We start from the raw sequence: 27,580 nt of genomic DNA on the forward strand, positions 1-27,580 counted from the left end.
TTTCTATGCATTTTGACTTCTCTTTGTATACAATATATATTTATCATTATGGGATTGGCCAAGATGCCATTCTGACAAGCACGGGGTTACAGGTATTCACAGTTCTCTCATCGTCCTGGTGTTCAATCCATCAAACATCCAGGGCAGAGTGAGAAAGCAAAAGCAGCAGCTCAAAAGAGCCTCACTACAAGCCTTCAGCTGTCAAATCTCGAAGGTCAGAACTGGCAGAAGCTGAAGGTTTTTTTTTTTTTTTTTTTTTTTTTTTTTTTTTATGCCCATCAATGAAAGCAATCGTGAGTAAAAGTTGTACCTGCCAGGAAAGGAATTGTCCTTTGTACTTCATGACAACCTTCACAGTTGAGGTGCATTTTGACAGCTGCTTCCTGAGCCCCAGGGAGGGTTGCACATTTATTCCTGGGTGTGGGTGGAGGGCAGGGAGAAAATACTTTTCATCTTTTCATCGATTGGAGACTCTTCTGTGATCTTGAACGGGGCTTTAATTTTTAGACCCAGAGCTTAGGCTTTAGAAGAGGTGCATCCTAGAACTAGCTTCAATTGATATGTTATCCATCCACCTAATATAGAACCCCTACTATGTGCTAGGCAGTGTGCCAGACATTGCTAGCATAAAAAGGTGTGCAACCCAAAGTCTCCATCTTCAAGACTTGTGGGCCAGAATTAGATGACCAAATTTCAGAGGAGTCCTCCTGAGAAGAGCTTTTCCTGACTGGATAAGAACAGCTCTTAGTTTCCTCGGAGCCAGGCGTGACGCCAAGGTTCAACTGCAAGGCTTTCTTGGGAAAACAACACAAGAAAAGAAATGGACCCAGAAGATCTGTTTCCCTGTGTTACCCATGACTATAAGCAAATTATGGAAGCTCTCTGAGATTCGGTTTACTCTTCTATAAAGGAGGTGAATAATATGAATGGTACAGATCATAGTAAAGGTGAAATGAGTTGATAGAGGTTGACTCACTTGGCAAACTGAACATGCACTGTACAGATATTTACCATGAATATTAACAACATAGTATCTGTTTCATGAGAACAAAAAGGAGGGCTGTGGCTCTGTTGTTAACCTGGGACCTAGATGAGAGTCAATATGTGAAGTACAAAGAGAATGGATGGATGGGTGGATGGATGGATCAATGGATGATAGATGGATTAATGGATGAATGGATTGATGGATGGATGGATGGATGGATGAATGGATGGATGGTAGATGGATGAGTGGATGGATGGATGGATGGATGAACGGATGGATGGATGGGTAGATGGATGGATGGATAGGTGGGTAGATGGGATGTATGGATGGATAATGGATAGATGGTTGGTGGATGAATGGATGGATGGATGGTTAGTTAAATGGAAGAATGGGATGGAGCTTCCTTCTGGCTTTAAGAGGTTTGGCTTCTCTAGTCCATCTGTATTCTTCTCATTCCCCTGTGGCTTTGGAAGCCATAGTCCTTCTAGAGACAGAATAACAGATGTGTCAGGAGTATATCCACCTGTGGAGACCAGTGACATTCATGACCTTGGATACCCTCCAGCTACCTCAGCTCAGGGACTATGTAGGCAGGATTAGGCCAGGGTTGGAAACCTTGTCACTAGCCTGTCCACCCATAAGTGGGAGAAAAATGGCTCTCCACCTTAAACACAAGTCCCTCCCAAGTCTTTAAGCTTTCTTTTTTACTTTTCTTCCTAGTGCTTAGTAAATGGTTATATAAAGCTACCCGCTTATGTGATCAACCAATTCAAGCTGAGATGTTAGAGCCATGATTCTTAACTTTTGGTGCACACCCAGAATCCCTGCAGAGCTTTCTAAACATACATATGCTCATGGCCCACTCCAAGACGAGTAAAATCAGAATAGCTCAAGATGAGACTCGGGCCGGGTGCGGTGGCTCATGCCTGTAATCCCAGCACTTTGGGAGGCTGAGGTGGGTGGATCACAAGGTCAGGAGTTTGAGACCAGCCTGGCCAAGATGGTAAAACCCTGTCTCTACTAAAAATACAAAAATTAGCCAGGTGTGGTGGTGGGGGCCTGTAATCCCAGCTACTCAGGAGGCTGAGGCAGGAAAATCACTTGAACCCAGGAGACGGAGGCTGGCAGTGAGCTGAGATCACGCCACTACACTCCAGCCTGGGTGACAAGAGCAAGACTCCATCTCAAAAAAAAAAAAAAAAAAAAAAAAGATGAGACTCAATTGTATGAAGTTTGTAAAATGTGTAGTTCTCACTTGTATTACTAAAGCTTGAGACCTACTATGTTAATCGCTGAAGGTCCAGTTCCTCTTAAGAGGACTAGCATTTTAGTAGTTGCTTCAATATTACTACTTAAAGTGGGGAGGAATATGGTAAATCCAGGTATACTCAATGGGACTGGTACTTTGGGATCTATCTTGGAGAACACAAGTGGTTACTCTGAGAAGGAGGGGTTTAAGTGAAATCTGTAACCCTGGCTCTCTTCCTGCCCACTCTCCCATGACCCTGAGCAGCCTGAGAGGAGAGTGTCCCTTAGACAGACAGCCTGGGAGGCAGGGGGTTAGGCACTATCAGCACCTGCTCTGCTTGTTGATCTAATTTAAACCCACGACAACCCCGTGAGTGGCACAATTACTACCATTTGACAAAGATGAGGCTTGTAGAGATTCTGAGACTTGTCCAAGCTCATATTGTGTGTGAAGAATTTCCTCCAAGAATACTTAGAGCTCAAGTCTCCTGCCCACTGTGTGCTCAGAGAACTTCGAGCTACGTGATTGCTCCTGTAACAAGGTGTCTGAGAAATATCCCCCTGACAAGCCTGGGTGTGAGTTTTAAGGCTTTTAAAAATTACCTTTAGAGCCTTTGAATGGCTCTCTCTTTTTAGTGTAAATCACCTAGACATTAAAGGCCTTATTGTATATTTATTAGTGTGTTATTCAGACCATGGGGGAAAAGAGAGAAGCTGACTCTATGAATGACTTTGAAAGTGAGAAAAAGCTGGGCCTGAAATCATTGTGACACTGCCACTTGAGGGCATCAGTTTCAATAAATGATCACCTTTTTTATTTCTGATCTCATTTATCATGCAGGCAAGATTCGAAGAGAACTTTTGACCATGGAGGCTGAATGCCACAGGCTCTGATTTCCTCAGCTGTCAAGACTTGCCACATTGCACTGGGCTGACTGAAGTTCAACCCAGAGCAGCCTGGGAAAAGCAATCAGGTCCCTTTTCAGAAGCAAATACCTGGTGGCATCTTTCCACAGGTGCCCTGCCCTGAGACCATCTCTCGCTTGGCCTGTCTACTGACAGGAACAGCCAGGGTTCTGTGCATTAGTGGTGAAGGTATCAGTGGGCCAGTAGGGAGGTTCCTCTTTGTCCAGGGAGCAGGAGTCTGGGGTGGGGAGAATTACTTCCTGCTGCCCTAGTCCTGGATGGCATCTGAGGATAGGTTGCTGGCATTGCCAGGACAGAAGAGGGGAGCAGAGGGCAACCAGAGCTTCCACTTTAGAAGGTAAGAAGCTACGGCTGGGCAATACTGTGGTTGTCCATAACCATGCTGCAAATTAGCGGTGGAATCAGGATTGAAACCATACCTCCTGATGGCCACAAATCAATATCTTTTTGAGTTAAATTACCTTGGCACATTTCCTATTAGGATTGCTACTGGTTTTAAAGCTGGGATCTTTGGTCAGAACTGACTGCCTTAAGTAAGCGCGGCAGCTGTGTGGGTACCCAGCATGAATGCAAATTTTTCTTCACTTGGGGAGGGTGGCTGCAGATTTTAATCTAAGGGCAGTGAGTTTGAGGGTTTCCTGATGCAGCTGGGCAGCTGGGAAACAGACCTTTCCAGGGTGCCACTGTGGAGATGAGTCCTGGCTTTGCCACGAGCAGGCAGTTTTGTTTCTTAGTTTGTTTTTTTGAGACAGGGTCTTGCTCTGTCACCCAGGCTGGAGTGCAGTGGCATGATCACAGTTTACTGCAGCCTCAACCTCTTGGGCTCAAGCAAGCCTCCTGCCTCAGCCTCATGAATAGCTGGGATTACAGGCATGTACCACCATGCCTGGCTAACTAAAAATATATTTTTTTTGTAGAGGTTGGGGGTCTCGCTATGTTGCCCAGGCTGGTCTTGAACTCCTGGCCCCAAGTGATCCTCCCGCCTTGGTCTCCCAAAGTGCTGGGATTACAGGTGTGAGCCATTGTGCCGGGTCTGAGCCTGCAGTTTGACCTTCATCACGTCACATTACATCACATCACCCGCCTGGGCTTCATGTTCCCCATCAGGAAACCAACATGGAAAGGGGAGGAGGTTAGACTCCCGTATCTTCCGGGTCTAGGGGTTGAGGTCCTGCAGAAAGGCAAGGCTTTGTGCTGAGAATTTCAATTCACCACCACCCTCTGGACTGAGGCTTATTTGTGCTTTAAAATGCCCTGACAGCTTATCTTGGCTCAAGCCTGAGTTTCCTCAACGACTTCCGGTTTAAAATATCTTTTCAAGTATTAGTAATCCAAATGATTGGCAACTTCTATCCCCTTGAGGCCCAATTCTTCCCTCCACACACTGTGTAGTTCTGGTCATACATAATAAAGTCCCCAGATACCCGCTGCTGTGGGAAAAAGTCATGTGCTTCGAAAGGAAACAAGACACGAGGTGGCCTTCTGGGTAGGAGCCCTGGAGAGTGTCTCCTATAGCCCTACACGCCACCCACCATCAAGCTTGCGTTCTTGCATCCGGGAGAGGACCAATTTTACACAGACAATTGCTGCTGGATTGATCTTCTGAGACACATCAGAATGGCAGTGTGGTGCAGTGGGTGGCTCCCTAGCCGGCTGCTTCTGCTGGATCTGCCACTAGCGATCTTAGCTCAGCCTCTTAATAATACGAGCCTCAATTTTAAAACATTCACATAAGCATGTGCTGTTGCTATTCTGCTTGTGTCTTCCTTACTGGACTAGATGTTCCTTGAAAGCTGTGACCTTGTTGTCTTTGGCTGTGTCATCTTTGGCACCTGCCACACAAGAGGCACTCAATCCATGATGGTGAGATGAATGTTTGAACCCAAAAGGACCTAGCACTTATTAGTGCCAATGATAGCCAGGCACTGTGCGAGCCATTTTCCATATGCCATTTCACAGCTCACCATTTTACATAAGTATTATCCTATTCATTCAGTTCATGGGGACTTTATGGCCACTAATTTCTAGCTAAGATGTCCTATGCCTATGTGACTCTGTGATCAGCCGGGCCTAGGCTGTTTGGTAGCCCCTATTTCTCTGCTTCCTTGCTTCTCTGGTCATTCTGGCCATGCAGATGAGCAGGCTGGGCACTCATCTGTCTGTCCCCTGCGAGACTCCAGCCAAAGCCCGGCAGCCTTGGCCAACGTGGCCACTCATGCTCTGTGATTCATTAGACCTCATATACTCTGCTGCTTTCCAGGCAACCAGGAAGGCAGCAGCTGCTGTGCTTCTCCAACTGCCTTTCCCCTGCCTTCTGCCTCCGGGTGCTTCCAACCAGTCTGCTGCTCCTGCCCCACCCGTGCACGACAGCCGGCACCACCTGCTCACGACACAGTGGTTTCCGGGGAACTTGGTGGCGTCTGACTTGTCATTCCTCAGCCCACTCCTCTGAGTCAGGCTCTCCCCAGCCGACTTTATTATTACAACTTCCTCCCTCGTTACTACAAACACGGAATGTTGTTTTCCAAATAGTGGTCCCCAAACCACCGTCTCCTGTTATGAGAGGAAGCCAGCCCCATTCGTAATCATCACATTCAACATCACCAGGATATCACTGTGTCCCCCTCGCTGCTCTGAGCACTATGCTAGTGAGGTCATCTCTGACATTAAACAGAGCAAGCTTTCGGCAAGGCAAACTGCTGAGTACTGCAAATCCAAAGATTCTTGAGACTAGCAGCGACCCCATAATCAGAGAGCAGGCAAATCTCCATCCTTTGTGATCCCAAACTCTGAACAGTGCAAAGCTGGGCAAGTTTTGATTTGCTGGGCAAATGCCCTGTTCCTTGCAGCTGGCCAAGGCACCCACAAGAGTAGCTCTGCGCTGCAGTGGATGGTCCATTGATTGTCCTTTCTGCTGCCACCTTCTACCCTCACCACACAGATCTCATGGGAGGTGAGGAGGCTGGTCCAGGCATCTTTAAATCTGGAATCACTCCAGCTCATCACTAAACTCTGCCCCAGACAAAGCCATCAAGTCACTGAATTTGCCTCAGCTCAGTCCCAATTCCTCTCTCCTGCTCAACTCACACCCTCCAGAGGACAGAGCAGCTCCTCTGGTGATGGAGGCATTGCCTTGGGAAGAGGATAAGTTGGGTGGCCAGGTGGACGTTGAGGCAGGTGACCATGGCATCATGTGGAGGGAAGGCTGCCCCTGAAGGCACTGACATGGCAAGTCCCAGGGCTCATTTGTCTTGAAGGATCAAATAATCAAAATAATCGCTCTTTTTTTTTTTTTTTTTTTTTTGCAAGATTCTTTCATATTTCCCTTTCTCTTTCCCAACTCCACCCTTTCTCCCTAAGAGGCTTCAGGTCTCCTGGAAAGAGTCCAGTTTGGACCACATCACTTCCTATTTCCTCTCTCTGCCTCAGTTTTCTCCTCTTTTAAATGAGAATTGACTTCCTATATGAGCATAGAAAGGTAAAGAGGGAAAAACTATTTGCAAGGCCCTATGGCCAGTCATACCCGAGGAGTTATTTTCCTGACTATGCTACACAGGGAAACAGGCCAGGCCACACAAGAAGTGCTGAAACCCCTCTGGCACCTTTTCTCACACTCATGGGTATTCTCAGACTCCAACTCCACCTCTCCCAGCCACATCAGTGAATCCTCCCACCCGCCACCAGCACCACAATGGACTGATGCCTGAGGGCTCAGAAGCCTCAAGCAGCACTCCCTGGTCTCTGCCAGTCCTGGTAGGGAAGGAAGGAATGTTGAGAGTGATAAGTCAGAATATGCAGCTCTCAGAATATGAGGCTGGGCAAATACCTATAGGATGGCACATAGCCCTGCCCTCAGATAAGAAGTCTTCCCATCCAGGCTTCTTACTGGAAAGAGAAGCCGTGCTGGAGGGAGGCTTGGTGCCAGAAGATAGCTGGTCCCAAACAAGGGGCAGCCCAGACACCTGCTATGCCACACTGATATCTGGTGAATAGAGCAAGAGTCCTTGGTAGCTGGGACCTTCTCAGCCAGCCCAGAGAGGCATTTCAGAGGCAAGAAGATGGATATGAGTTTAGGAATGGGGAGAGCATTCTTTTTGATGTCAAGATTTCATTCCTGATGAGACTGCAGCAGCTTGTAGTCCTTCTAAGTGCAACTAAATACAGATGGGTTAATGGCTGGGAGTGGGGAGAAGACTTTCAAGAAATTACGAAGGAGGCCATTCAGCCTTATTGCCAAAGCAACAGGCAGGATCTCTCCCCTGCACACCATGGGGATGGACAATGGGTAACAGTTATCGTTCAGGTGGGACCCTTCTGAAAAGGTATTCTCTTAGAAGGAAGCCAAGTCTAAGCATAGCTAGACAGTTGGGCTTTTTCTCCTGTAAACAAGTCACAAAGAAGGATCCTTGTTGCTAAAGTAATCAGATCTGGGGTCCCTCAACGCTGAGGTCATAGGATGGTATTTATACTTATGGAATGGAAAAACAAAAGCCAGGCACAGAAGTGCCCTAGTTTAAGTTTGCTTTCCAATGTCACTACCGCAGAGGCCTGATGGATCACTGAGTAAGCAAGTATCTCCAGAAAGCTTAGAGGATTCCACTGTCATATGTCTTGGTGGTTGTAGCACAAAGCTCTGTTCCAATCTCTACTGAATTACATTGGCGTAGTATCCATGACTAATCCTGCTCTGGGGTACCAAACTCCCATAGAACCCGCTTGGATGGCCAAAGTACTTTGTCCTTTCCCTTCCTGCCCAACTTCTGCTGGTAAAACCCAGTTTCTACCATATTAAATTACTTTCATTCTGGCCTTTTAACATTTCTTTGACTGTTTTCTTCTTGGCTGTATCTGAACTTTGGGAAATGAACATCTTTAACACCCACTCATGAAATCCCCACTCTGGCAGCTGGTCCTCTGGCTTCTGGAAGGGCCACTAGCCAGGGAAGTCAGAGGGACCCACAAATCAGTACCCAAGACACTACCTAAGGGATATTAGTAGTAATTGCTCAACCTGGACCTACCGATTAAAGGACAATCATGAGTTTGTAAGTAGATGTCACAGACTCTGGAAATGTGTAACCAAAAGCCAAATCACCTGGTATAAAATCAATTTTGGACATGGAGAAGTACTTACCCATGCTTCCCTGGAGTGGGCATCAGGAGGATCTCTCTTGCAGCCTCGTTGTGGGGCAGCAGCTGGGCAATGTACCTTCCAGAGGGCTGCAGGTGCCTGTGCACCGAGACGGCCAGTGTGCAGTGCTCACTGCTGCTCCTCATCCACGGACTCAGGATGGTGTGCTTGGAGTCAGCTGAGGTGTTGAGAAGGAGAAAGGAGCCTGGAAAGAGACAGGGAAAACGAATCTGCAGATGTGTTCAGGTAAGACCAGCAGTAGCTCTGTGGCAAGACTTAGAGACAAATGGCATCAAAATCAGAGATACTGGAGGCCATTATCTCCTTCTCTGCATGCACCCAGCCTTCTTCCTCCATTCTTAGATTTTCTTTGTAAATAGTATAGCCTGATGCAGGTGGACAGTGGCTGGAGACATAGGCCTTATAATCAGGCAGACCAAGGTTCGAACCTTAGCTCCCCTACTTCCTACTTCTGTGTCCTAGAGCCTTCGATTTTTCATCTGCAAAACAGGAATAAAAACATCTATTTCAAAAGACTCTTGTTCCTTCCCTTACTAGTTGAATGATCTTTGGAAAAGCATTAACTTTCTTAGGTTTCAGTTTCCTCCCTTGTAAAATGGGGTGAGAGGGTTGGCTGAACTCAATAATCTCTTAATGTTCATTTCAGCTCTTGAGCCTATGAGTCATGTGAACTTGCAACTGGTCTCCACAGAAAAAGCCCTACAAATCTCCCCTGTTGTTGTGCCCATGGCAGAGTTTCCCTCTGGAGCAAGCCAATCTTGATTCCAGTAGCACAGGCCAAATGACCTGCGAGAAACCTACATTCATGGGGATTACTGTCAGTGTAAAAGCACACCACCATTATATTGTTCCAGGCATTCCTTCTGATACATTAATTTTACTTGCTCACTTCTGCTTTGAAGTTTTGGGCCATTAGATGCTGCTCCTTTTGCAGTAGAAATCTGTTTCAACAAGATCCCTGACTTCCACAGTGGGAAGCAGCTAATGAGTACTCAGTCTTCTTAAACTACTCCTGGCACTTCCAAGGTCTCCTTCTGCAGATAACCCAGTTTCCCAAATAGGCAAATAAACTAGCAGCCTGCAATAAACAATGGTGCAGATAAAAGAGGGGGATTCCTACCAAGGCAAAGCATTACTCAAAAGGAAGGTGTTGTTCCAGGAATTGGAGGTTTCCAACTTTCTTAAAGTAAGTAAAAGCGACTTCTGGTTAAAATCAGGATGAAGCATAAGACCGTGTCTGAGCTGGATCGAGAACGTGAACCCTCTGTACTTGTTGGGAAGCTTCAGCATGGCATATAAGAAAAGTGATCTACAACTGTCATAAATAATCTACATTATGACAGTATTTTGCAGCAGAGGAAATGTTCTTATCATGGGCACAGAGGAAAAGAAAAGGGATTAGAACCAAAGACAAAGAATTGGGAAGATCATCTAATTCAGTCCTCTTGCTTTCCTAGGGAAGCAGACTGGAGATCCAGATAGGGAAATGACTTGTCCAAAGTCTTAGTTTGAAAGTTAAGACCATACTCCAGATTTCTGGACTTCTAAGCAGTACTCTTCTCCTTGTTTCTTTTTCACTGGCCCACTGTGTACTTCAGCCTAAAACATGGCCAAGGTAACTTGTGGCCAGGATGTATAGCTTTGGAAGTCAGAGGGGCAGGAAGGGGAATGAGAGGCACATGGACACCAGACCAAATCCATTTATTCGGTCCCTTCCTTACTCCTTTCTGCCCTCAGATTCCATTTAATGGATGCCTATTTTGAGCAAACATCCAAGCACTGGCTCTGCCCTGAGGACATAGATGTGACAGACACAGTTGTGGCCTTCAAGGAACTCCAGGTCTGGCAGGGGTGCACAGATGTCTGCAAGAACTATCAGCACAAATAGAGGTCATAAAGTCAGACACACATCCAGGCAAAACATGTTGGGAGCCTTCAGGAAGGAGGAGACAGGAGGTCCAGGTGGGAAGATCCGTAAAGAGGAAGACCCTTGAGCCAGGTCTTACAGGGAGAGAAAAACAAAGATACTGGCAGAATGGACTGTGCAAAAGTTGAAGGGAAGAGGAGTCAGGACAAAGGTAGATGATGTTTGGCTGCAGAGTAGGACACTGGAGAGAAGACTGAGAAATAAGGAGGGCCAGGGAGATAGGAGGTGTAACCAGACCACAGAGAGCATTGCTTCTTGGCTGAAGATTTCCAGCTTCATTTTGTGGATAATAGAGAGCCAGATATTTTGAGCAGGTGAGTGGCACCATCAGAGTGGTGCAGCAGGAGAACTGATCTGTTATGGTGGGGGCAAGAGGGAATTAATATTGACCCAACCTCATCTTGCACCACAAGTCCACACAAGGGCAAGAATGTGACTAAATGCAAATTCGAAGTGTTTGCTATATTACTGTTGTAAGCAAAGGCAATGTGTTGAGGGTGGATGACTGGGGTTTCCAGTACTAGGGTAGTGTGTATCTGTGCAGAGCACGTGAGGACCCTGGAAGTATCTCTGGGGACAGAGTCTTGCTCCAGACTCTTTGGGGGTATGGCCTGGGGTTAGGATGAAGACAGTCCCATGTCCAATAATAATTTACACATAAGGGAGCAGCAGCAACTGTGTCCTGGTCTGAGACCATTCTCTGATGTTCTCAGGTTGGCAGAATGTTGAGTAGAAACCAGGAGTTTTCTGAGCTACTGAAGGGAAGAATGGGGGCAAAATAAAGAAAGTATCTCCATTCTTCTCAGGAAGATTACTGCTATGCACATGTGCACATGCATGAGAAGCTCAAAAATCCAGCTGAAGGTGTTGAGGTATTGGACTAGGGGCTCTTTCTGTGTCACTGCTCCTCTCCACCCTTGGGTGTGGCCATGCATGTAAATTCTGTCCCCGAAATTTGGCACCTCAATAATGGAACCCTTTCAAAGCTGACTGGAAGATTTTTCCAGTTCTAATATGTGAGATGATGTTTATATGAATCTTATTTTCTGCAACCGGACTATCAATAAGCGACTGAGCTTATTTTCACTCTCAATGGAACTCTATAGTTGAGAGCTATCTCTTCATCAGCAGCTTTCCTCTACCAAAAATAAGGGAAAAAATACATTTCATAAGCTCCTTGGGATATTGTCAGTATAAATCTTTTAAAGTCAGTAAGAATTTATCTCTCCTCTCTCTCTTTTTGGTTTCTATTTATTTTGCTCAGGATAGCTTGGGGCTAGGCAAAGTCTCCTGGGGTCCTTTCTAACTAAGAAGGATGGTCTAGCAGCACACAGACCTTCACCCAGTGTGGCCATGGGGGTGTGGAGAGGCAGATCAAAGAGCTCTGCTCATACAGCGCCACAACCATGTTTCTTTTATTATGCATCTTGTTGATATGTTTAATGATTAAATATGAAATGATTTTTATTTTTACCTCTGGTCACCAGTGTAGGAATGTGCTGCTCTCATCTCAACCAGCAGGGCTCACATTATGGGCCAAAACCCAAGGGTCATGAACTTAGAGGTCAAACTCTTTTGTATCTGTTCAGTTATTGACCTTAGACAAATTATTTAAACACTTTAAATATTAATTTGCTCAAATTTAATATGGGCAGAGCCTACCTCATATGGCTGTTGTGAAGATTAAATTAAATAACATGAATCAAGTAGGCAGTACTGTGCCTGCTCAAGGTAGGTATGTAATAAAAATCAGTTCCCTGTGTTGACAGGTGTCTTAGTCTGGAATTCCTTTGATCTAGGACTAAACCTGGAATCAGAAGGACTAAACTGGAGTAGCTCTGCTACTACCAACCTTCCTTGGTAAAATGAAGTGTTGGATACAGTCTCTCTAAGGATTCTTACAGCCCCAAACTGTCAGTAATTCTATCTGCCTGCCTAGAATATTATTAATCTAAAGAAATTGAGTCAAGTCTCCAAGCCCCCAAGTCCTAAACTCTTCTTCTCATAATTCACCTCTCTGAGGGTTATATACCAACAGTTTTAATCGATTGGCCAAATACTCCATGAACTTTCCCGCTAAGATGTAAGGAAGTAAGCTGTGGTTCCCTGCCCTGCCTTCCTCTCTCCCGATTTACACACATACATCCCTAGGAAGGGCTCCTGTACTAGCATCATTTGTTTCTTAGATGCTTCTGCTATAAGGCTGCTACCACCTCTAAATGTCTGGTATGCAACACAATGCTTGCCACATGGTAGGTACTCAATGATCCTAAAAATCAAATTGATATGATGGTAACATGGTGATGTAGTTTGGTTGTGTTTGTTCCTCCAAATCTCATGTTCAAATATGATTCCCAGTGTTGGAGGTGAGGCCTGGTGGGAGGTGACTGGATCATGGGGGCAGATCCCTCATGAATGGTTTAGCTCCATCCCCTTGGTATATGTGAGTTCTTACTCAGTTATGTGAGATCTGGTTATTTAAAAGAGTCTAGGACCTCCCCTCCTTTCTCTCTCGCTCTCACTCTCACCATGTGGCATGCTGGTTCCTTGTTGCCTTCTGCCATGATTGCAAGCTTCCTGAGGCCCTCACTAGAAACAGATGTCATTGCCATGCTTCCAGTACAGCCTGCAGAACCATGAGCCAATTAAATCTCTTTTCTTTATAAATTACCCAGCCTTAGGTATTCCTTTACAGTGACACAAGCATGGACTAATACAGAAAATTGGCACCAATGAGTGGTGTTTTGCTATAAAAATACCTGAAAATATAGAAGTAACTTTGGAACTGAGTAACGGGCAGGGGTTGGAGGAATTTGGGCGGGAGAAGCTCACAAGACAGGAAGACGAGGGAAAGTTTGGAACTTCTTAGAGACTAATTAAATAGTTTTGACCAAAATGCTGATAGAAATATGGACAGTGAAGACAAAGCTAAGGAAGTATCAAATGGAAATAAAAAAGTTATTGAAAACTGGAATAAAGGTAACCTGTGTTACACCTCAGCAAATAATTGGGCTGCATTCATGTTCATGCCTTAGGGATCTGTGGAAGGTTGAACTTAAGAGTGATAACTTAGGGTATGTGGCAGAAGAAATTTCTCAGTAGCAGAGTGTTCATGAGTGGTCTAGCTGCTTCTAACAGTCTATGATCAGATATGGGAGCAAAGAAATGACAAACTTGAAACTTATATTTAAAAGGAAAGCAGAGCGTAAGGGTTTGGAAAATTTGCAGACTACTCAGGTAGTAGAAAGGAAAAGAACTTTTTCAGGGGAGGAATTCAAGTGGCCTGTGGAGCAACTCGCTAAGCGAATAGCATGACTAAAAGGGAGCCAAGGGCTAATATCCAAGACAATAAAAAAAAGATCGCAAGGGCATTTCAAAACTATTTGGGACAGCCCCTCTGATCACAGGCTCAGAGGCCTAAGAGGCTAAGAGGCAAGAATGGTTTCAGGGGCCAGGCCCAGGGTGCTGTTGCCCTGCTCAGCCTCATGACACTGCTCCTTACATTCTGGCTGTACCAGCTCTAGCCATGGCTCAAAAGGGCCCAGGTACGGCTCCAGACACCACTTTGGATAACATAAGCCATGCTTCCATGTGGTATTCAGCCTACAGACACACAGAATGCAAGAGTGAAGAAGGCTTGGCAGCTCCCATCTAAATGCCATAGGAGGCATGGGCAGAAGTCTACCACTGGGGCAGAGCCCTGGCAAAGAAACTCTACTAGGTCCATATCAAGGGAAAATGCGGGGTTGGAGCCTCTACACAGAGTCCCCACTGGGGCACTTCCTAGTGGAGCTGTGGGAAGGGGGCTGCTGCCTTCTATATCCAAGAATGGTAGAGACACTGGCAGCTAGACACTGGCAGCTTGAAGCCTCAGCATGGAAAAGCTGCAGACACTCAACTCCAATCTGTGGGAGCAGCCATGGAGGACGCACACTGCAAAGTCATAGGGGTGGAGCTGCCTAAGGCCCTGGGAGCCTACCCGTTGCAGCAGCGTGCCCTGGATGTGGGACATGGTGTCAAAGAAGATTATTTTGAAGCTTTAAGATTTAATGACTGCCCTGCTGTGTTCCACACTTGTGTGATGCCTATTACCCCTTTGTTTTGGTCAGTTTCTCCACTTTGGAACAAGAATGTTTACCCAATGCCTGTACCACCATCGTATCTTAGAAGTAAATTACTTGTTCTGATTTTATAGGCACATAGGTGAGTCCCACATGAGGCTTTGGACTGTGGACATGGAACATTTGTGTTAATATTGGAATGAGTTAATACTTTTGAGGAACTATTGTGAAGGCATAATCATATTTTGAAATGTAAGGACATGATATTTGGGGGGGGCAGGGGTGAAATAATATGGTTTGGATGTGTTTGTCCCTCCAAATCTCACGTTGAAATGTGATTCCCAATGTTGGAGGTGGAGTCTGGTGGGAGGTGATTGGATCATGGGGGCAAATCCCTCATGAATGGTTTAATACAACCCCCTTGGTGATAAGTGAGTTCTTGCTCAGTTAGTTATGTGAGATCTGGTTGTTTAAAAGAGTCTGGGACCTCCTCATTCTCTTTCACTTGCTCTTGCTGTCACTATGTGACATGCTGGCTCCTTGTTGCCTTCTGTCATGATTGTAAGTTTCCTGAGGCCCTCACTCAGGAAACAGATGCCATTGCCTTGCTTCCAGTACAGCCTGCAGAACCATGAGCCAATTACACCTCTTTTCTTTATAAGTTACCCAGACTCAGGTGTTCCTTTACAGTGACACAAGCATGAACTAATACACATGACAAGGAATCAAATAGTACAGAATTGCTTATAATTTTTTTTAAAACAGCCTCTAACCTCTGCTCCACCTGACCACATTCCACACACTGGAAAATTTTTTTTTAAGGATTTCTAACTTCTTTAGGTTGCTGCCTTCATAATTCTAAATATTATAATCATAGTTTTCCTTGCAGGTGTGACAACTTTAGACATGGATAGGACAATAAGAAAAATAACAATATCTCTTTCATAATTCTTGATTTTTAAAATGTTCTTGATTTTAAAAATTATCTTCTACACCTTACGTTTTTAACTTTATGTGATATATTTATGACTTCTTCCAACAGCTCCAGGCAGTATCACTTGACTCTTCTCACTATAAAGATGAGGCTATTTAGTCTTCCTGCCCTTTCCTGTACTTTTTCTCTTCCACACCCCCCTCCCAAATCAGCTGTACTTTTCCTTTACCTTGTCAAGATTGTGTAAGAATGATTAAGTATTTTGTGTTTTGTTTATAGGTTGATGCTAAGTGTGGAAAATCAATAAACAGATCTTTTATACTGATGGCTATATATTTCTCACTGCAGTGAATAAGGGTTATATTTATAATCTTCTCTATAGATCCAAGAATGCATTCTACTCCAAGCAGGATATATTTCCAGCATCAGGATCAAATGAATTCTCTCTCTTGCATTGTTACTTGTCAAAATTGTGGCACATTTTAATTTGTCTCATATTTGAAATAAGTCTTGGTATATGTTATCAGCAATAATTAAGATTATTATGTTAAATTGTCGTGTGCCACAAAAATAACCAAATTTCATTGCCAGTTGTGTCTTTAAGTATAGCTATTTCTGTCTTTCTTTAATCTACAGACAATTATTGTTTTACTTTGATTATTCTCAAAAAAAGGTTTGTAATCAGCTACTGTCCAAAATTTGCTTCCTCTTTAAGGTAATTCATTGAAAGGACTCTGACAGGTTCTCTTGAGCACAGGGTAGATCATATCATTCGACTAGGTAAAAAAAGTTCAAGACTCTAATTTTAATAATCTGAAGTGTTCATGAAAATTGCCAACACAACATCAAGTGGGACAAGAATTAATTACATGGGACTGAACTAATAAAGGACTAAAATAATTTCTAATGACTTCTTTTTGTTTGAAACATTGTTGATTCTTTTTATGCTTTATTGTCTAAAGTTAAGAAAACTTTTTCTTTTGAGCTACTTAGAGCTTACAACAACAACTGGGTAAAGTATAGTTTTGTGAGCAAAATTAAAACATTTAGTTTTTTCTTTACCTGATTTCTCCAGAATTTTGAAAAGTTGTGAGTATTCTTAATTTATGGCAATATAGTTATTTACGCAAGTTCAGTTAGAATCTGTTTTCTTTTGTAGGACAAAATAGTGGATATAGTAGTTAATAGTGGATATAGTGGTTATTGGATATAGTGGTTATTTTACCAAGGCCTTGACTGAAATGGTATATTTTCAAATATGATCAGACTGCTTTGAGGAATTTAGATTGGCTTTATTGAGCTGATAAGAAGCCCTTTAAAAAGTCTGACCTGATATCTTTTCTACACAGTTTCTTTATAGGGTTCCTGACCTGTGGTAAGTAAAAGATGTCACTTTCTGACAGGCCCAGAAACCTCAAGATATTTTAAGACCTTGAGAAGGGAAAAATTCACCCAATTTGTACAGGTATTACAGATATAGATAAGTGGCACATCCTTGGCTTGGCTTTCTAGCCTCGAGGTTTTAAAAAGTCTAATCTTAGATTCCTTGTAAAAAAGTTCCAACAAAGCTAACTTATAAGAGCCTCTATGACCAATCACCGTTCTTGCTATGCTTTATATGAATAATCAGGCCAAATATTATCAAACTAATACTTATTTTGCAAATAAGTTTGTCATACCATTATTTGTCTTTGGTAGAAATAAAGGACTAAAGAGAAGAATTATGTTTTTTTTTTTTAAAAAAAAAAAACCCTATAGGTTTTTCTCCTCATAACTCTGTTATGAGATTCCAGCCTTGTCCATTATTTTTGAGTTTTTATTATTTTCTCACAATGTAGACTGAATCCTGACTTCTTTCTTGGCTACAAGTCTCCAAAAATAACATTTTCAAATTTTCTTCCATTTTTCTAACTTGAAATTATTAGAAATTAAAACTGTGCTTTTCTTATAACCCTGCAAACTAAAGATAGGCCACTTAAATAACCTTCAAGAAAAATTACCACAGCAAATTATATATAAACAGCCAGTAATACATGAACTCACAAAGTTCGTTTAAACACCCAATTCAAACTACAATCCAGAAATATGTGTCAGATTGTCACTGAAATCTGAAGATGCTTCAGAGACTCTAAAAAAAAAGTAGTTTATAGACTATTCCAGACATTAGCCTTTTTTCCCTGTTTCCATAGAAATACCTTTTATTTATGATCTGTTTGCCTGCATCATATATAGAGCCTAGCCTACCTGCAATGCCACCTCCTGGAATGGGACACAACTGTTTAACCAAACTGATCTATTCTCAGGACTAAAAGACTGATTTAAAGAGAGATGGGATGGTATATTTAAATGTATTCTTTTCTGCATATCCCAATTTGTTTTCCACTCTTTTGTCTATCTCTAATAATCTCTAACCCAAACCTCTCCAAAGCTATCAACTTGGCTTTTAATATGTGAAACATTTTTTGTTCGAGACAGAGTCTTGCTCTGGAGTGCAGTGGCACCATCTCAGTTCACTGTAACCTCTGCCATGAAGGTTCAAGCAATTCTCCTGCCTCAGCCTCCTGAGTAGGTGGGATTACAGGCTCACTACCACACCCAGCTAATTTTTGTATTTTTACTAGAGATGGGGTTTCACCATGTTGAACAGGCTGGTCTTGAACTCCTGACCTCAAGTGATCCACCTGCCTTAGCTTCCCAAAGTGCTGGGATTACAGGTGTGAGCCACCACACATGGCCAAACATGTGAAACTTGTTAAGGCTTCAAAGTGGGGACTGAAGGAAATAAAAATATTTTACCCCAAACTATATCTATTTGACATATTTTCAAATGGCTGCTTGGAGAGTCAGAAAACAAAAGTATTCCTGCAAAGCTGTCTTTTGTGGGGCAGATTTGCATCTGTAGAAAATCTGCACTGATGCAACCAGCTCTTCCCTTGTCCAGAGCTAGGAAAAATTAACGGAGAGGTTGATACCTTTAAAAGTCTGAAAAATACATTTATTATTTATTCTATTTGAAAGCTGCTACCGTGAGATTTCATCTACATAACAAGACCACCATTGCTAGCCAAGCCTCCTCTTCCCTTCCTCCCATAACCTGTCTTGCAACTATAACCTGTTTTGGCCATACTCCAAGTCCCCATTCTTTTTGTAACTTCAAGATGGCAAATAAGCTTCTGCATCCCACTGAGGGGTGGGTTAATCACTCTGTGACTTTCCTTTGTGTGCACATTAATAAATTGGTGTGCTTTTTCTCCAATTAATCTGCCCTTTGTGGGTTAATTTTTCCATGAACCTTCAGAGGGAGGGCAAAGGGAAAGTTTTCCCTCGGTCCCCACAGAATCAGTTTTTGTTTTGTTTTGTTTTTTTTCAGTTTGTCTTTCCAGGAATTTCTAGCTGATTTTTTTCTATTTATTTTATATCTGTCTTCTTTACCATATCACTAACACATCCATATACTCCTTGAAAAAATTACTCCCTTCGTCTTGAAGACACTGATTTCCTCTTTTAATTTGTATCAGTTGCTTTCTGGGCCTACGGTACAGCTATTATTCTGAAATTTCTTTTCACTGGGACTTTTATGTTAGTCCCACCATCCTCAGGAAACTTCTTCAGGGGGAAATTTCTTAGTGAATCATTGAATATTTGAAATGTTTATTTCATCTTTACATTTGGTTGGTAGCTTTTCTGGTTATGGTTTGCAGATTAGAAACTTTGCCTCAAAAATTTGAAGACCTAGTTTCAGCGTTTTCTAGTGTCAGTGTTACTAAGAAGAAGTCTAACGCTGGTTTTATTTGTAATTTCTTTGTAATTGATCTGTTTTTCCTATTTGGAAGCTTTTGGGATCTTTCTTTAACTTTAAAGTTCTAAAATTTCAATACATTGTATCTAGGTAGGGATCTAGATAAAAATTCATCCGTGGCATTTTGCAATGCATATAGCTACAGATCTGTACAAAAATTTATCCGTGGCATTTGCTGGCCTCTGTCAATCAGAAAACACATGCCTCTTTCATCTCTAGCAAATCTTGTTTTATTATTTCTCTGATAATTTAATTACCCCATGCTTAATCTTGAATCTTTCTTAAGAGATTTATCTTTCAAGTTAGCTTCTGTTAGTTATCTGATTTATCTTTGTTTTCTCTGGGGTCAGCTTTTTTTATATATATTGATCTTTCTTTTTCTCTTTTCTTCTTCTTTTAACAGAAGAAAAAGCATATAAATTTATTTATGTGCAAATGCATGGGAGCCACACAAAATATGAGACTTGAAGGACCAGAGGACAGAAGTTTTTATACTATGCAGAAATGAACAGAGGCTTGGAGCTCCTGGGGAGAGGTGGCAGCAGATTATGGAAGGGTGAGGGGAGGAAACATATGGCAAGAAAAGGCTGTCTTGCTATGCATGATCTTTCTTTTTCATGCTGCTGGATTATTCACATGTTGAGTGATCATTGATCAGTCCCTCACATTTAAACAGGAGAGACTAGGGAGGCTAACAGGAGCTATATGTGTACAGATGGTGTTTGTCCTTTATGCATAATTTGCCTGATGGACAGTTTCAGGAGCAAGCCATTTTGCAGGTGACTGCTTCCCAGTGCCAGCCCAAAGGGCACGTCACCCTGAGTATGAACACTCCCACTAGCAGCCATAAGTCTATCACTCCACTTGAAGTTTTAGAGGCTTTTTCCTAGCCCTATGGTTAAGCATCCTGCTACCCTCTGCTTTGGGAAAATGATATTGAAAAAGGAATGAAGGCCATCTGGGTTAACCATAGAGAAATTTCCATTCTTCTTCTTTACCTTCATCCTTTCTTTCAGGTGATCTTTTACCTGCACTCTCAGCAGATAGGACACCTCCTCTATTCTAAACCTTTTTGGCACATTCTGGGCTCTGGCCACTTTGTTTTTCCATGGACAGCTTCTGTCTCCTCTATGTGCTCTAGAAATTGCTCATGCCTCCCCTCCTGCTCTGTTTGCTATTCAGAATTTGTTCCTCCGTTGATAGTTCTCTATTTAATATAACTTCAGTGGGATCTTAAAAGAGGAGACAAATGTTCAATCCACTTTTCTGAACCAGAGGCCTCTTAATCATATTCTCTGAGTGAGAACATAAATACACACATGCATGGATGGATGGATTTCCATCTCAATCAATCAAACAGGATCCAGGCATCATTGGCTAATTGTCCATAGTACAATAAACTATTAAATCATTATTATCTGCTATTACTCTTTCAGTTGATCACAATGCCACTCATGTTAGGTGGGAACTAAGGAAAAGCAGAGGTTTAATGGGTTGGAATCTGGACAGAAGGAGTGCAGTGTAATGCATGCAGGCCTCACCCAGATGCATGCCCCGAGATATCAGTGTTGGGGAATAATGCTGTGCCAACTCCAGAGTACCTTCCGCAGAACACCAGCCCCATGGATGTCAACAGGTATTATGAGAAGGCTCTGTGGGCGAATGAGTCTGGGGACTCCTGGGTACAACAAGAAGTAAACAGGCTCTTTCACTGAAGACTTCTCAGAGCCTTGATATGCCAATAAGAGTTGTGGCTCTTCAAGAGTGGAATATAAAATGAAACATTTCCCAAACTCCTTTGTGCACAGAACCCTTTTGTTACTGTGTATAATGTTCTATGGAACACACTTTGGATACCCTCCTCTAATCTATTTCTGCTGCAAAGACCGTTTGCAGAAAATAGGAAAGGAAGAAATCATGGAAAAAAAGGAGAAACAACATATCCTTATCCATATCTATCTATATAAATATCTATGTGTATGTCTAATCTATATCTATATCTGTATCATCTCTCAAGTCTTTTCTGCTTGTCTGACTTTCAAACTGTCCTTTCATAAGACCTCAGCTCCTTCTGGCAGAATCACGCTCCTGGAAACCTCCTCTGAGTTACTGCACTGGTCTCGCTACCTGAGGAGACTTAAAAATGCTACATTCCATATCTGGCTTTCAGAATGTCGTAACTAGACATAAACATGATTGTCACGTAGCTTAATCGCTTGTTGTACTGGGGAGAAAACCAAGAAGCAAAGAAGTTCAGGACTTGCCCAAGGTCACACAGCATATTGGTGGTGGATCTGCAATTAGAAGCAAGGTTTCCAGACTTCTGTCCAGTAGAACACTCACTGGGTATATGCCTGTCCATGATAGAAATCTACGAAGGTGTTTCAGTCAGATGCCCTGTGGTTTGGTCCCCAGATGCCTGCAGATGTTCCTTTCACTTTTCAGCACTCTCACCACTCTGTGGATCAGGCCCAGCAGCTGGTCTCAAGCTCTTCTTTCTGACTGTCCCCAGAGGTCACAGACTAACGCATGGGCAGGTGGGACCCAGACAGTGGGTCCTCCTTTTGAAATCACTCACAGGGCTTAGATGGCCTCACCATGGCTGAGCAGTATTTGAGGGTTTCCTTTGTTCATGTGGTCTTATGAATTGTTCAAAGCAAACTGGGGCCACTGAAAGAGGCTCCTTATTGTTTATTTTTCAAACTTGAATTCTACTATCCTGTGTAGCCTCAACTCATGTTTTAGTTGTTAGAGCAGAATTTTGACATTTAGAATAAAGAGGAGGTGGGACCGTGCTCATTGGCATGCTTTGCCTAATATTGAGATAATGGAAAGACAGAACTTCAAAGCTCTAGAGGCTCTTGGAAATCATTTGGTCCAACCTGTTCACCTTGCAGCTGAGGAAACAGTCCAGTGGGTGAAGGGCTATGCCTGGCTTCCATAGCAGAGCTGAGCCATGTGGGCACTCAGTCCCTGTGCACTTTTACTGTCTCCCTCTGTCTCGATGTCAAATATTTGGAATTAGCTCTGTTACTCTCCACCACCAGGACTTACATGTATTGCTTTTCTGCACCTTCATTCGGAAGCACTTTGAAGAGAAATGGTATTCGTTTTTGAGACTGAATCATTAGAAAAACCAAGTGTGTTCATTAAGAGAGAGAAGGGGAGTAGAGGGAGTTGATTTTTCTTGATAGTATTATTAATCTTAAGATAATGAGTTAGTTGTAGCCTAGAAGTAGTAGTACAATTTGCACAATTAGGAGCCTCTGCAAACTGAAAAGGCAAAACAACCTTTCGGGTCCTACTTAACTGAGGCAGAAGTTCCCTAGAAATAATATATATTTATGCTCATGTGTGTGTGTAGTAAAATACGCGTATGTGTGTGTGCGTATATACGTGTACATCAATAGATGGATACACATAAACATACACATATGTACGGATGTATATGTATGTCTATGTGTGGAGGAGTACGTTTTTATATATTCCCTTTTAGATCTCTGACCCTGTTAAAATCTGACCCTGTTAGATCTCACCTCATTTTTAGGTGAGACACAAAGGTGGTTTTTTTCTTTTACATCAATGGATTTCATTTAGAAAAAAGGGGCAGAGCCAATAATCTCTACATACTGCATGCGTGCCCTGGGGTGTCAGCAAAAAAAGATAATAAAAGGCAAAGCAAATAAATAGAAAGAAACAGAAGACAAAGTGCTGAGAAATCCTTTTTCCCTAAGAGCTCATTTTGGTAATCCTCAAGGAAAATAGAAAAGCACTTGATCTGACTAGAAGGAGAAAGGGGAACAAAATGAAAACTAAAGAATTGATTTAATTCAATGAGAAACAGGAGGAAGGAGAGATAAAAGCACCTGCTGGAGGAGGAGGACGGAAGGGAGGGAGCTGGGCGACCAGGGTGCCTTCAGTGGAACAAAACCCACTAGAGAGAGAGAGAAGCACAAAGTCAGGTTTTCCCTTTCCCACGTGGGTTTTTTAGCTCTGGAATCGGATTGTTCAATTTTTGCTTTAAGTCCCAGATGTCAAGGGATAAACATCTTCTATGTTACTTTTAAAATTTTTGCTAAGAGGTAGCGGCTTTTATTGCTTTCTCTGGGCATTCCATTGATTTTTTTAATTAAATATTTTAAAAAGCAATTTTTTGCCCATTTCCTTGCAGGAGTCTCATAAAATCTCAACCTTATTATAACAAGTTCTGATGTTCCATCTACTGTGGTTCTCAGATACCCGCTGCTGAAGAAGGAGCATGGAACGTGGGTGGATGTTAATAACCAAGCCATGCAGCTGAGAAGCAAAGGGAAGCTGAGAATGCATCACTGTTTGTCACCTGCTGCCACTCTGGGAGAGCTGCATGGAGCACCCATGGGCCTCTCACCCATTCCTCTTCATTTTTCGGAAGAGTCAATGCACATGCAGGAAGCTGAGGTATCTGCATGGCAAGATGGCTAGGCTGAGTTCTCAAAGGTTCTAGAATGTTCTAGGCTTCTAACAGATCTTTTCACTTCAGGTCTAAACTTCCTCCTCATACATTCTACACACAGAAGTCAGAACCATCTTCTTACATTTAATTTAGGTTATCCTTCCCTTCTTTTAAACTCTTCAATTCCTTCTCACTGAATACAGATTAAAACAGAAATTCCATAATACGGGGCCAGGCGAGGTGGCTCATGCCTGTAATCCCAGCATTTTGGGAGGCCGAGGTGGGCAGATTGCCTCAGCTCAGGAGTTCGAGATCAGCCTGGGCAACATGGTGAAACCCCATCTCTACTAAAATACAAAAGATTAGCCGGGCATGGTGGCGTGCGCCTGTAGTCCTAGGTACTCAGGAGGCTGAGGCAGGAGAATCGCTTGAACCAGGGAGGCGGAGGTTGCAGTGAGCAGAGATCGTGCCACTGCACTCTAGCCTGGGCAACAGAGTGAGACTCTGTCTCAAACAAAAACAAAAACAAATTCCATAATATGATCTATAAGAAAGGCCAGAGGGGAACTGAACTGCGGTGGATTTCATAGGCTGGCTCACTCAGGTCCCCAACCAACTTCCTTCTCTCTTGCCTCCTTCTTTTATTGAGACTGGAAGTTTAAAAAAAAGACTTGATTTAACCAGGCTTCCTTGCAGATAGGAACAGCCATGTGACACAGTTCTGGTGGTGAAATGTGAGCAGAATTATGCTCGTATGGTTGCCAGGTTCAGCAAATAAACATATAGAACACCCAGTTCAATGTGCATTTCACATTAATAACGAACAATTTTATTAGTGAAAATATATCTTAAATATCGCATGAGACATGCTTATGCTAAAAAACAATTTTGTTGTTCATCTGAAACTCACATTTAACTGGACATCCTGTGTTTTATCTGGCAGCCCTCTGGTGCGGGGAACTGTGGGGAAAGTTTCCCCTTTCTGCTTCTTTCTTCTTTTTCTTGCCTAGAATATGAACATAATGCCTGGAGGTGTGGCAGCTGTCTTGTAACCAGGGATTGACAACATGGGATGTGGACTAGTAAAGTAATAAGAGTTAAGTCACAGCCGAGCGCGGTGGCTCACGCCTGTAATCCCAGCACTTTGGGAGGCCAAGGCAGACGGATCACGAGGTCAGGAGACTGGGACCGTCCTGGCTAACACGGTGAAACCCTGTCTCTACTAAAAATACAAAAACTTAGCCGGGCGTGGTGGCGTGCACCTGTAATCCCAGCTACTCCGGAGGTTGAGGCAGGAGAATCGCTTGAACCCGGAAGGTGGAAGTTGCAGTGAGCCAAGATCATGCCACTGCACTCCAGCATGGGCGACAGAGCAAGACTCGGTCTCAAAAAAAAAAAAAAGAGTTAAGTCACTAATGGTGTCATTGGATATCTATGCCAGTGCTGAACTGCCTGTCTCCGCTCTTCTTGTGGGAAACACACAGCAAAACACCCAAGATCCTTATCTGGCTAAGTCATCGCAGCGAAGGCTTCTGTTGTTTTGGAGCTGAACTTCTATAAGCACAGGGATCCCGCCTGTCTTGGGCCGGGGCTCACTAGTACCTGGTGCAATGCCAAGTACAGTGTTTCTTCAATAAACATTTGCTGAATGAATAAATTAATAATATTTAACAAAAAAGTGGGCAACTCACTTATTTTCTTATATCTTATCTAAAGCAGTGTCATATTTCTTATTTACCTTGGGGGGGATGTTTTTCCTTTTTGAACATTATGACGAGTGGCTACAGAGGGTTACTCTTTGCAACATAAAACAAATCAATTTTTAAAATGCCTTGAAGTTTGGACTCTTAAGATCAGTGTTTCTCAACTTGTGGTTTGTAACCCATTAATGGGCCATGAAATCAATTTAGTGGGTCATGACCAGCACTAAACAGAGAGGAGGAGAAGGAGGAGGAGGAGAAGACCAGCAGGAGGAAGAAGCAGAATTAATTTATAAAATATCCTCATTGTAACTCTCTTTTGGGAAATAACAGTGGCTGCTGATCTACAGGTACACACACACACACACACACACACGCACACACACACGGACACACACATGCACAGGTGTATGTGTCTTTCATTGTGATGTGAAATATATTTCTTACTGTGAATCACAGTTTTAAAAAGATTGAAAGCCAGGTTCAAGATGAGTAGTGTTCAAATTTCAAATGTCCATATGTGGAAATCACATTGGCCTGATTCTTGTTCCTGAGCCACCTCTCATTAGTTGGGTGACCTTGGAGGAGAAGTAATTTATTTGGACAGCGTTTTATGATTTGTAAAACTCTCTCATGCAATCTTAGAACAACCCAGTGAAATAGATGCTATCCCCAGTTGTAGTTGTGTGTCTAATAATGGCAGCCAATAGCCACATGTGGTTTTTGAGTATTTGAAATGTGGCTGACGTGACTGAAGAACTGAATTTATTTTATTTAATTTTAATTAATTTAAGTTTAAGTACTGAAACTTAATTCAGTTATTGGAAAAATATGTTTGGAACAACTTGGGTATGTGAATATGATTTTCCAAGAATAAATTTTATAAAATACATCTCAAGTATTTCAGATGAAAATTTAGTCTCTAAACTGAAATGGCTATCAGTATAAAATGCATACTGGATTTCAAAGATTTAGTACAGAAGACATACAATGTTTTATTAATAATTTTTATATTGAGTACAAGTCAAAATGAAAATATTGGATCTCTTGGGTTAAATGTTTATTAAAATGAAGTTCTTTTTACTTCTTATGATGTGGTTTCTAGAAAATCCAAAAGGACATTTTTGGCTCATATTGTATTTCTATTAGCACTACTTTAAGGATTAAGTATCTTGCCCTAAGCCCCTGGATAAAAAAGTGCTTCAATTACTATTACAATTCAGGTCCCTTTACAAATCTATGGCTCTTCCCGCTAAACTAGGACAAGTCACATCTCCCTAGGCCTTGCTGTTCTTATCTTTAACAACAGCAAGTAAACTAGTGTATGACGATAATAATAATAATGGCTAATGCTTATCCAGTGCCTATTAGTCCCGAGCAATATGTTAACATTTTGCAAGGTTTACTGCATTTTAATTTGCAACAACCCTGTAAGGTAGTTATATGATTATTAAACCTACTTTTTAGTTGAGAAAACTGAGACTCGGAGATATCAATTAACTTGCCTATCAGCTCAAGATGGTGTAGACTGAGGGGCCCAGAGCCCAGGAGCTCCATGAAGATGACTAGACAGCTAGAGCCTTTCCCTGGACCTTGGCCTTTATGAAAGCAGCTGGACTCTGTTTGAGAGATGGTATATTGCTTTTATTTCTAGAGTCTTTTTAGATTCATTTCCTTTGAGAAATAATGGCTGTCTGATCTTGTTGCTGATTCCAACACTATATGGCAGAAATCTCCAATCTCTACAGTTTTTGAATACATAGATAAGGCTGAAGAAGGTGACTTTGTATCTGAAAATTTTCAACCAGAAAATTGAAATTTGGGCTTTGTTATCATGGGTGCTTATTTAAAGTTCTACTTGCAATGTCAGACTACATCTCAATGAAAGCTTTCAAATATAGGGACAAATAATACTTTCCCAGGAAAATTATTTTTCCTTTGTTATCAATCTTGTTTATGTGCATTAAATATAATTTAGAAAAGAAATGGTAAGAAAAAATTTATCTGTAGTCCTACCAATTAACCATTCCATTTTGGTTTTTTATTTCACCACCTGCATAGGATTTTAAAAATTTAAAATATTTTTTTCTCTTATTCTTTCACTTAACATTGTCGTAAGCATCCTCTATGTTTTTATGTAGGACTTGCAAACATATTTATAAATATTTGTGTAATAGTCCAATAACTGGACATCACATTTAATCTGTTGTTTTAAACAATTAGGTTGTTTCCAGTTTCTTGCTATTGATAAAGTTGTTCTCCTGCTTCTGTGAATATCATACTCTTTCTGGAAGATAGTCCACCAAAATATGTACAGTTTAAAAACCTTAAACTGTGCATATTCTTTTACCCAATAATTTCCTTTCTAGGAATTGCTTTAAAGAAATGGAGTTATTTCTAAAGACATGTTTGCAA

The 27,580-nt window shown here is 42.3% G+C and overlaps 1 protein-coding gene across 2 annotated transcripts in view; it reads right to left on the reverse strand.

Moving 5' to 3' along the window:
- Positions 1-27,580, reverse strand: part of ALK (ALK receptor tyrosine kinase) — a 728,813-nt gene that overhangs the window by 330,847 nt on the left and 370,386 nt on the right. For both annotated transcript variants that reach the window (XR_001738688.3, NM_004304.5), the window contains exon 4: positions 8,295-8,496. Coding sequence is in view for 1 of the 2 variants with exons in the window: in NM_004304.5 (NP_004295.2) it covers positions 8,295-8,496 (202 nt within the window). In the remaining variant the exon portion in view is untranslated. The remainder of the gene's footprint in view (positions 1-8,294; positions 8,497-27,580) is intronic.

The sequence above is a fragment of the Homo sapiens genome, chromosome 2, assembly GCF_000001405.40.
Source record: "Homo sapiens chromosome 2, GRCh38.p14 Primary Assembly".
Lineage (NCBI taxonomy): Eukaryota > Metazoa > Chordata > Mammalia > Primates > Hominidae > Homo > Homo sapiens.